We start from the raw sequence: 11,399 nt of genomic DNA, 5'->3' as shown, positions 1-11,399 counted from the left end.
TTCCAGACCCTGTGCTGACATTAGCATACAAAAAAGAATCATATATATCCCCTATCCTTTAGCTCCTAGACAAACATTTAAACAGTTGATACAATGATAGAAATCTATACAGGGTAACTGCGAGTCCATAAGGATGGTAGAGTAGAACAGTATTGAAAACTTGAAACTCTATCCTTGAGCTCAATCTTGAAAATGAGTAGATGGTTTGTAAGAAAAGACACAAAGAAAGGTATTCCCAGCATAGGAACAAAGGAATACTACTGGCCTATTGGAGGACTGTGAGTAGTTCAGGCTAACTGGAGGTTGGTGGGAGTATAGTAAGAGCTGAGACTGGGAAGTCAGCAGAGGCCACATTAAAGAACCTTGGGGACAGGCACGGTGGCTCACGCCTGTAATCCCTGCAATTTTGGAGGCCGAGGCAGGCAGATCACAAAGTCAGGAGTTCGAGACCAGCCTGACCAACATGGCAAAACCCTGTCTCTACTAAAAATACAAAAATTAGCCAGGGGTAGTGGTGGGCACCTGTAATCCCAGCTACTCAGGAGAAGCAGGAGAATCGCTTGAACCCGGGAAGCAGAGGTTGCAGTGAGCTGAGATGGTGCCATTGCACTCCAGCCTGGGCAGCAAGAGCAAGACTCCATCTCAAAAAACAAAAAACAAACCTTGGATGCCATGCTGAAGGCCTTAATCTTGTCTTCGAAGAGACGAAAAATAAAATCTGAATTTTTGGAAAGCTCCTTCTGGAAGCAGTATGTGAACAATGGGTTGGGATAAGACAGAAGTAAACAATTAGGAAGCTGCTGCAATATCCAAGTGACAGATGACCATGACCTCAGGAGGGCTTGGAGAGCAAGGTTAGATTAAGGAAATTTCAAGAAGGTAAAAATCAGTGAAAACTGGTGGGAATCTGGTTATTAGGAGAAAAGAATAGTCCAGTAAGATTATTCCCAGTTTTGGGTTGGGTGGATAATGGAGCCATTAAGAACAACATTCAGAAGGGGAGCCAGGTGTGGTGGCTCATGCCGTTAATCCCAGCACTTGGGAAGGCCAAGGTGGATCGCTTGAGTCCAGATGTTCGAGACCAGCCTAGGCAACATAGCAAGACCCCTTCTCTACAAAAAATAAAGAAAAAAAGTTATCCGGGTGTGGTGGCACACACCTGTAGCCCCAGCTACTTCAGGGGGTTGAGGTGGGAGGTTGAAGCTGCAGTGGTCCATGATCGTGCCACTATACTCCAGCTTAGGCAACAGAAAGAAAGTGTCTCAAAATCAATCAGTTAATCAATCAGAAGGAAGGGGAATGAGTTTAGTCATGATACTTCTAAAGTGCTCATTAGAAATCTAAGTGGAAATGTAGATTAAGTGGTAGAAATAGGGATTTAGAGCTCAGGTAAGAGATCTGGGCTAAAATTTTATAGTTAGAGATTTGTCAGTATAATGAGTAATCAGAGAGGTAGAAGAACCAGAGTGGAGTTTCCAAAGACGAGAAAAAAAATTTTTTTTTTTTTTAAGACGGGATCCTGTTCTGTCACCCAGGCTAGAGTGGCACAATCCTAGCTCACTATAGCCTCGAACTCTTAGCCTCAAGTGATCCTCCAGCACCCAGCCTAGAAGAGCATTTTTTAAGGGATTAGTAGTCAACAGTGTGAGATACACGAAGAGGAAAAATTCATAGTCTCCTGTTTTGGCAATTAGGAATTCAGTAGTATATTTGAAGGTAGGTTCAGTGGTATAAGGAGTCTGATGAGTGAGTAGAAAGAAGATGAGTTAGGTAGGAAATTTGAGAGAAATGGTAGATGCTTGAAATGGTTGAAGGAAATGAGATATGGCCCACCTCAAAAAGAGAACATGAATTTGTGGTAGTACCAACATGTAAATGCAATGTAGCTGGTGTAGAAGCTGAAAACAGCTCAAATAATCCAATTGGAATGGGTATTGGGAAAAGAGTAGCTGAAAGGATGCACAGTGAAGACTGGGCTAAATAAACAAGGAAGTCAAGCCAGATGAGTGGGAGGGTGGGAAGGGGAGAGGCTACAGGAACATTAGGCTGAAGCAGATACAGCAGGTATGTGAAAGCTAGGAGGACAAGAAGTGAAAGTAGAATGACAGTTATTAAGGTTCTGGGTTCTAACAAGTTCCACGGTGTGATCTTAGGAATAATTAGACGAAGCGGGGTTGAGATGAGGTCAAGGAAACATGAAGGCCAGAGTGCTGGATAACCACATGGTCCTCAACGTCAGCCAGTATGATTGCTGGATTTGGGAAAGAAATGAAGGCTGAGCTAATGTCCAAAGTCATCAATGAATTAGGAATATAGCAGAGGATAGAGGACTGCAGCAAGGAAGAAAAGAGTGTAGTCAAGTCCAACGACATAAGCTGCAAGAAAGGAACTATGGGACGGATGGTCTGAAGGTGATAATTTATAACTTGGAGAATGCAAATAGGACAGGGGATGAGAGAAGACTACAAGGCCAGTGACACAGCAGAAATCATGTATGAGGGAAGCAGGTGTCCTGTGAAAAGGATGTACTGAACAGGTGTCCAGATGGCACAGTAAGAATGGTTTGAGGGAATGGGGTGGAGAGAAGGGGAGGGAGAACAGAAGAATAAAAGACTCACTTCTGGGCCCATAGCTTGGCTACTGCTAGAGGCAGAAAGGCCAAAGAGAGGCACTAAGGAACAAGATGGTCCTGAAGATCTCGTTCCATGACCCACCCCTACTATGACTACTATCACCATCCTTACAGACAGCAGGCGGTAGATATAGCAAGTCTTCTTTTGACCATCTCGCCAGACCCGGGCCATGGCTTGTTCATCATTGGCTGGGTTCCAGTCAGGGTCAAACATGACCAGCCGGTTAGCCCCAATGAGATTGAGGCCACAGCCCCCAGCTTTGCTGCTCAGCATGAAGACAAAGTCAGGGCTCTGGAAAGAGAAGAAACAGGAGAAAAGGAACCTCTTATAGCCTAAACTGGGATCCTGCTCAGCCCAACCAGCTCCTCCCTCATGCCTCTATACTACTCAGTACCAATTGTGAAAACCACCAGTTTATCTGCTCACCAGCCAGCCAATCCCAACACACACAGTCAGTTTCCAGCCCAGCCATCACCAACCAGACAAATCCTACTATATCCACTAGGGGAATTAAAAAAAAAAAAAATCAAGGTAACCCCTTATAGCTTCTCTATCATTCCTTAATTCTGATGATACTGCATTGGTGGTGTGGGGACGGGGATGTGCATTTACCGATGGACTATTGAAGCGTTCTACAACCTTGGCTCGCTTCTTAATGGACATCGTGCCATCCAGGCGGACGTATAAGTACCTGAAGGGGGATTCGAGACCCAAGAAAATAAAGCTTCAATGATTAGGGGGAAAAAAAATTAAAAATAAAAATTTTTTTAAAAAGACCCAAGAAAGCAGAGTCCCTTGGAGAGCCACTGAAGGGACTGAAATAACCATGCTTGAGGCCCTAAGCTCCCAAAGGCAGGGGCAGGGAGCTAGAGGCCAAGACTCTTTCCTAAGGGAGTACCTGAAGGACTAGGGGATCTTCTACTTGGAGATAGAGCTGAGGCCATCATAGCAATAAGGGAAGATATCTCCAGGGAAAGCCCTTATGTGCCCAGATCTTGGCCCACATCCACAAATCAGAACTAGACAGACAGTAGGGGAGGGGTATATCCCCCTTTGGCATCCTGGTTAGGATCTTCCCTACCTTCGGGCACGGCACAGCTTCTCAAAGAGATCCAAAGTCTGGGTGTAATTCGACACCAGCACTACTTTGTCACTGCTACGGCTTCGGGTCACCGCCAGAATATAATCCAGGACCAGCATCTTACCTGGGAAGAGCAGCAACCAGCAGTCCCCTACTGGCTGTCCCAATGGCCCAGGCTTCTTACTCTTGATATCCTGCCTTGAAACAGGACAGCCCTAGCACAAAAAAAAATCTCCCACCCTCCTCCTAGAGAAGCCCAAATACTGGTAGGAAAAGGGTCACCTGACAGCTGGGGCTCCAGGGCCTTAGAGCTGTAACCAGGAGGGAAGAGGTCCAAGGCACCCACAAAGCCATCCTCCTCTTCCACACACTTATCATAGATTAGAGCTGGATCTGGGAGAAAACAAAACAAAACCCAGATACTTTGCTTTCTGAAGTTTCCACTTCAGTGTTCACTAGAACTCCCTCTAGAAGCCTAGCCCAAAAGGCCTTCCTCAACATCAGACTTGCTTGATCTTCATCCTACCAAATTCCAACAGGATATAGTCGGTGCCATCTGGGACGATGGATGGACAATCTCACTCACTAATGTGTTCTCCCAACAAGAAGGGAGCTATAACAGAGCAGGCAAGGTTTCTTTGTTATTTTTCCTCCTGCCCAACATTGTATATGAGCGTGTGTACATGCAAGCACTCACAAACAGTCGACACATCCCAGGTCATCAAGCATGGGCTGGACAGAAGATGAGTTCAATTTTCCAAAGCAAAGGGTCTGGTAAACAGACTCCACAATGCAGGGTTCATGCCTTGGGTAGGGTTGGAATCACATGTGGCCTCTATGAGGATGACTCTGGACGAGTTTTAGTGAGGGTTGCCAGGCCACTACAGGAACCTACCCTCCCTTGCTCACTCTCACAGAGGACACCAGGACACAAGCCCAACTCACGATTACAAAGCTTCTTTAGCGAGGTGATGGAAGAAAGGGAAGACACACTCATCTTGCCCTCAAGCAATTCTTCTGCCGGTTTGGCTTGTCTCAGAAACCTCTTGTATAACTCAGTCTGAAGGGGTGTCAGCCTAAAAAAGGCAGCTGGGTCAGTGGAAAAAGCTAGACCACCCTCCTGCCCTCTGAGAACACCTTGAGAGCCCAGCCATGCTTCAGGAGCTAGGCTTTGACCCACTCCACATCTTTCAGTTGAGTTCAGTACCTACAACAAACGACCTGCTCAATCTTCACAGGCAGATATTTAGAAAGGATATCAGAAGTCCTCCGTATCAGGCATCTAGAGAAAACAGGATAAAAAGGCAAGAGGCTGGTAAAATTGCCATGCTAACTACTGGAATAAAAGCTACCACCCAAAGGACCAAGACTAGCCCTCTTTTACAGTATTAAATGTCAGAGACTCGGCCAGGCGCAGTGGCTCACGCCAGTAATCCCAGCACTTTGGGAAGCTGAGGCGGGCGGATCACCTGTGGTCAGGAGTTCAAGACCAGCCTGGCCAAAATGGAGAAACCCCATCTCTACTAAAAATACGAAAATTAGCCAAGTGTGGTGGCAGGCACCTGTAAACCCAGCTACTCGGGAAGCTGAGGCAGGAGAATCACTTGAACCCAGGAGGTGGAGGTTGCAGTGAGCCGAGATCGCCCCATTGCATTCCAGCTTGGGCAACAAGAGCAAGACTCCATCTCAAAAAAAAAAAAAAAAAAAAAAAAAAAAAAAAAAGTCATCAGACCTATGTCAAACACATCTGTATCAGGGTCTCAATTGTGGGAACAGAGACCTTCCAAACATGCTAGCTTAGACAGGCAGCACTTTCTCTTCCCCTTCAATAGGTTGCCTAGTCTTCAAGAGAAGACTGAGGCTTCCCATTGATACAGGAGCTCTAACAGGAAAAGCAAGTTGTAAATTACTAAGTCCTTAGGGGAGTTTCTGCTTGCATTTGTCCAAATGCCCGCTGCTACATGGCCCCAGGCTAAATGAAATTAAGCATAGACCTCCTGGGAAGACTATGAAGGATAGGTATCAGGCACCTAAGAAGCAGATCTTAAGAAAACACCAATTCTTCTTCCTGCCATCTAATTTTTTTTTTTTGAGACGGAGTCTTGCTCTGTCACCCAGGCTGGGGTGCAGTGGCGCAGCTCAGCTCACTCCAACCTCTGCCTCTCGAGTTCAAGCGATTCTCCAGCCTCTCCCTCCAGAGTAACCGGGACTACAGGTGCACCCCAACCACACCCAGCTAATTTCTGTATATTTAGTAGAGATGGGAGTTTCCCCATGTTGGCCAGGCTGGTCTCGAACTCCTTACCTCAAGTGATCCACTCGCCTCAGCTTCCCAAAGTGGTGGGATTATAGGCGTGAGCCACCATGCCCGTCCTGCCATCTAAAATTGGTAGGGAGAGGTAGCCAGGTAGCCAGGCAGTTGTTGGGAAGGGCAGGAGGACTCTTTAGAATGTAACCTATCAAGTGTGCATACCACCTCTGGACAAAGGAGTCCAGAATGTGCCTACCCTCTGGGTTATGTAACTCCCATGAAAAAGTCAGTCCCCTTAGCCTGGGAGCCACAACCACCTTTCAGATCTTCTCCTACCTGTCACAGAATGACTATGGGGCCTGGGAAGAGAAGCCTAATGTTTCGGGTCTGAGACCAACTGACAGGAAGCTTCTGAAATACTAGTAATGCTCCAAGGTATACTTTGCTCAAGAAGTCCAGCAGCATCAGAGAAAAGCTTCCTCAGCAGGCTGATAAACAGACCAAAACCAGACCACAGAGCCCAAGCCAGAAAGAAAGCAGGCACTTCACCTCCAAGACTCCCTTGTTTATTCAGTGGCCATAGTTAGGACACAGAACCCACTCCCTTCCTAGAATCCCAGCCTTTGAGGGCTCTAGAGAGGCAAAGCCCCCAAAGGATTGGCCATGGATGGTTTGGGAGGCAATTCTAATGACTTCGCTTAAGGTCATTACCTATTCACAATGCTGGTGAGCTCCCGCAGCCGCTCCTCTCCTAGCTGCCTGTCTGCCTCACTAGCAGCAGCGTCTCGACCCTTCAAAATTGGCAATTCAAAATGCTTCTTGAATTCATGGGCAGTCCCTAAACACAGGAGAGAAGGAAAACAGAAGAATGTGGAAAAGGAATGATTTTCCCACAGCTAGTGATGGCAGACTACCTTCTCACAAACCAGCCTTCCTACCAAGAACAAGGCTAAACAAAATATAGGCCAATTTCTGTTTAACAGATCAGAGAGGTATCAAAGCAGTGAAGACTTGAAAGGCCAAAAGTGAGATGATAGGTTAAAATCCAAATATATAATTACTTAGAGTAAATGTAAATGGATTGAATAGTCCACTAAAAAGACAAACATGGCCAGAGTGGATTTTTTTTTTTTCCTGCAATGGAGTCTTGCTCTGTCACCCAGGCTGGAGTGCAATCTCGGCTCACTGCAACCTCTGCCTCCCAGGTTCAGGCAATTCTCCTGCCTCAGCCTCCCGAGTAGTTGGGATTACAGGCACCCCTTCTCCGTGCCCAGGTAATTTTTGTATTTCTAGTAGAGACGGGGTTTCACCATGTTGGCCACGCTGGTCTCGAACTCCTGATCTCGCGATCTGCCCGCCTCAGCCTCCCAAAGTGCTGGGATTACAGGCATGAGCCACCGTGCCCGGCCAATTTTTTTTTTTTTGAGACAGGTTCTCTCCCTGTCGCCCAGGCTGGAATGCAATGGGGCAATCATGGCTCACCACAGCCTCAACCTCCCAAGTAGCTGGGACTACAGGCACATGCCACCACACTCAGCTAACTTTTGTATTTTTTTTGTAGAGATGGGATTTTGCCATGTTGCCCAGGCTGGTCTTGAACTCCTGGGCTCAAGGTACCCTCCCGCCTTGGTCTCCCAAAGTGCTGGGATTACAGTTGTGAGCCACCACACCTGGCCACATTGAGAGAAATTAAAGATGACCTAAACAAGTTGAGAGACAGATCATATTAATATATTGGAAGGTTCCGTATTATAAAAATGAAAGATCTTTCAGAATTTATCTGTTTCAATACAGCCCAATTAAAATCCAGTTAGAGTTTTTTGGTGGGTATGGCAGGCAGTAGGTGTATAAATTGACAAGTTGATTCTAAAATTTACATGGGAATGCAAAGGGCCAAGAATATCTAGGACAATGTTAAGGAGTAAGAATATAGTTGGAGGCTGAGCAGATTGCTTGAGCTCAAGAGTTCAAGACCAGCCTGGGCAACATGGCAAAACCCCACCTCTACCCAAAATACAAAAATTAGCCAGGCATGATGGTGTGTGCCTGTTGTCCCAGCTACTCAGGAGGCTGAGGCAGGAGGATCACTAGAGCCCGGAAGTTAAGGCTGCAGTGAGCCATGATCTCACCACTGCATTCCAGCCTGGGTGACAAAGCGAGACCCTGTGTCAAAAAAAAAAAAAAAAGACTATAGTTGGAATATTCACACTAATGGATATCAAGACTTATTAGGCCACAGTAAATAAAGCAGAGAAGTACTGACACAAGGAGACAAACGGACCAGAGGAACAGAATAGAGTCCATAAATAGAGCAACACATATATGAACATTTGATTTATGAAGAAGGTAGCACTGCAAAGCAATGGGGGAAAGAACGGTTTTTTCAATATATGATGTAGGGTGAACCAGATATCCAAACAGAAAAAGATGGAAGCCAGGCATAGGGGCTCATGCCCATAATTCCAGCAGTTTGGGAGGCTGATACAAGAGAATCATTTGAACCCAGGAATTCAAGACCAGCCTGAGCAACATATGAGACCCCATCTCTATAAAAAATTTAAAAGTTAGCCAATAGTGGTGGCATATGCCTGTAGTCCCAGCTACTCAGGAGGCCAAAGTGGGAGGATTGCTTGAGCCCAGGAAGTTGAGGGTACAGTGAGCTATGACTGCAACGCTGTACTCCAGCCTGGGCAACAGAGACTCTGTCTCAACAAACAAAACCAAACCAGTAGAATAAATTGTAGTGTACTCATAACATGCAATAGTATGCAATTATGAAAATGAACAAACTACTGCTACACATAATGTGGATAAACTTTATAAACATGTTGAACAAAAGAAACCAGATGTAAAGGAATACATACTATATGATTTCATTAACATAAATTCAAAAATAGGCAAAACCAACCTATAGTGTCAGGAAGGAGTTTGCTGCCGGGACAAAAGGAGAGGATAGTGATTAGAAAAGGGGCTGCTGAGAGAGTGTTAGTAATTCATCTGATGGTGGTTACACAAATGTGTTCACTTGGTCATAATCTTGCCACTCAGCAGGTTCTCTGCCTACTCTTGAGCACTGGCAAGTTGGGGTGACACTAACACACCCTTTCACAAATATATGTGTGGTTGCCAGGGATTAGGGGAGGGAGGAATGAGGAGTTTTGATTATTATTACTATTTTAGAGACAGGGCCTTGCTCTGTTGCCCAGGCTAGAGTGCAGTGGCATGATCACAGCCTCCTGAATAGCTAGGACCACCAGCACACACCACCACACCCAGCTAATTTTCTTATTTTGTAGAGACAAGGTCTCACTATGTTGCCCAGGCTGGTCTTGAACTGGCCTCAAGTGATCTTCCCACCCCAGCCTCTCAAAGCACTGGGAGGGGAGGGTAGAGGAGTTATTGGGTAGATTTTAAGTTTAGCAAATAGAAAAAAAAAATCTGAAGATGGATGATGGTGATGGTTGCACAAAGTGAATGTACTTAATACCACTGAATTGTTACATTTAAAAATGGTTAAAATGATTTTTAAAACACACACGTCTGCCCAAGACAGAGCTTGCTCTGAGGCCAAAACTCTTCTAAGGGAGCTAGGATCTGAGGAACAAAAATAATAATTCCACCCTCAGCTCATCATGACACCATTCCCTGTATAGCCCCTGCCACCTCTGCAATGGAAAAATGGCCAACATGGGCTTTGCTGAGTTGCTCAGCAGATCCAAGGCCTCCCAATGGCTTTGCTACTCCCTGACAAGAGAAGCCTTCCTACAAGAATGCCTAGTGACCCACATATAACTAGCATTCTCTTCTTTCTCTCCTCAGCTGGAGTTATACTCCCAAAGACAAGGCAGGGCTCCTCTCTGATGTGGCAAACAAGGCTAGATTCTTACCTAGGATGCCGGAATTAACAAAATGTACCAAGCTGAAATACTCAAGCAGATCATTCTGGATGGGAGTTCCGGAGATGAGCACCCGCCGGCTGGTGTTCAAGCTGTCCAGGGCTTGGTAAGTCTGATTCTCAGAGTTCTTGAGCCTGTGTCCCTGCAAGAGAATCCTTATTCAGAGCGCAATGTGGCATTCCCTATACGGTAGCAAAGTCTCATGTAGACAGGAAAAGAGGAGTCAAAAACATTCCAGGCCGGGCGCCGTGGCTCATGCCTGTAATCCCAGCACTTTGGGAGGCCGAGACAGGTGGATCACTTGAGCCCAGGAGTTCCAGACCAGCCTGGCCAGTGTGGTGAAACCCCATCTCTACAAAACATACAAAAATTAGCTGGGCATAGTAGCTTACACCCATAGCCCCAGCTACTTGGGAGGCTGAGATGGGAAGATCGCTTGAGTCCAGGAGGTCGAGGCTTCAGTGAGCCGTGAGTGCACTGCAATCCTCCCACCTCAGTCTCCTGAGTAGCTGGGACTACAGGCATATGCCACCACTATAGTGACATAGTGAGAAACTGTCTCAACAAAAAACAAAAACATTACAGGTTCTAGGGCCTTGGGAACTAGGCAGGGGGCAGCATGAGAGAGGGTTCACCCACTTAACTATGGAGAATATTAGGCTCAAAAGACAGACTTCCTGTTTCCAGACCAGTGCTATACCCATAAAGCAAAGATTCCCTCTGTTCCTTTCCATCCCTTTCCCTGCCCCACCTCCAGAGCCTTGGCAGCCCACCTATACTCTTCAGAGATCATGTGGACATATGACAAACCCATGCTTTCAGGGAGTCCTCCCCTCCACATCAGCCTACCCAACTCAGAACCTTCTGAGCCAGACGCCTTCTGTATTAGACTCCAGGCCTTGTCTGGGCCATCAGTGTTAAAGGGACTTGGACCAGGCTCCATGTCCCACCAGAATCCTCACAGCTAGTAGAGCTAAAGAGCTTCCCTCTGCTTCCCTTCACATCTCTTCCCCAATCTCTATTCTCCCTGTCCTGTCCTCCCATTCTCTCCACACCTCTACTACTTCTTTTAAGCCTTTTTCAAGAAAATCATAAAGGACAACCTTCCCTCTTTCTCCAAGAACTACATGGGCAAGATTAGGCCCATACCTTTTCTACATCCAGCCCCATACTGGGGAAGGCACACAAAACTCAACCACTCAACCAAGAATCAGCAATCAGTCTTGCTCCCTTGGGTCAGGCTTTGACAACGCAATTAAATGCAGACCCTTCACTGACTCTTCCATCTATAGCATCAAGTCCAAGCTCTTTAAGCTCACTAGCTTAGCATTCAAAGCCCTTCTCAATGAGGCCCCAGTGAACTTCTCTGACACTCTCCAAGCTTGTCACGGTCCAGGAATCCTGACCTTGTCACTCCTAATGCTGGCTTTCCTTATGTCTCTTTGCCCATGCCACCCCTCTGCCTAGAGCTCTTTTCCACAGGCAAGTTCCTCAGATGTCACCTCCTATGCAAAGCCTTCCTCAGTGACTCCAGGCTG

At 46.4% G+C, this 11,399-nt stretch overlaps 1 protein-coding gene across 3 annotated transcripts in view; it reads right to left on the bottom strand.

Moving 5' to 3' along the window:
• Positions 1 to 11,399, bottom strand: part of RAD54L (RAD54 like) — a 30,786-nt gene that overhangs the window by 1,012 nt on the left and 18,375 nt on the right. For all 3 annotated transcript variants that reach the window (NM_001142548.2, NM_001370766.1, NM_003579.4), the window contains 8 exons: positions 9,853 to 10,003; positions 6,677 to 6,803; positions 4,922 to 4,996; positions 4,660 to 4,790; positions 3,997 to 4,107; positions 3,715 to 3,838; positions 3,246 to 3,324; positions 2,745 to 2,924 (listed from right to left, as the gene is read on the bottom strand). In NM_001142548.2, the coding sequence (NP_001136020.1) occupies positions 2,745 to 2,924; positions 3,246 to 3,324; positions 3,715 to 3,838; positions 3,997 to 4,107; positions 4,660 to 4,790; positions 4,922 to 4,996; positions 6,677 to 6,803; positions 9,853 to 10,003 (978 nt within the window). The remainder of the gene's footprint in view (positions 1 to 2,744; positions 2,925 to 3,245; positions 3,325 to 3,714; positions 3,839 to 3,996; positions 4,108 to 4,659; positions 4,791 to 4,921; positions 4,997 to 6,676; positions 6,804 to 9,852; positions 10,004 to 11,399) is intronic.

The sequence above is a fragment of the Homo sapiens genome, chromosome 1 (genome assembly GCF_000001405.40).
Source record: "Homo sapiens chromosome 1, GRCh38.p14 Primary Assembly".
In the NCBI taxonomy this organism is placed as follows: domain Eukaryota; kingdom Metazoa; phylum Chordata; class Mammalia; order Primates; family Hominidae; genus Homo; species Homo sapiens.
This window is presented reverse-complemented; position numbering and strand designations above follow the sequence as displayed.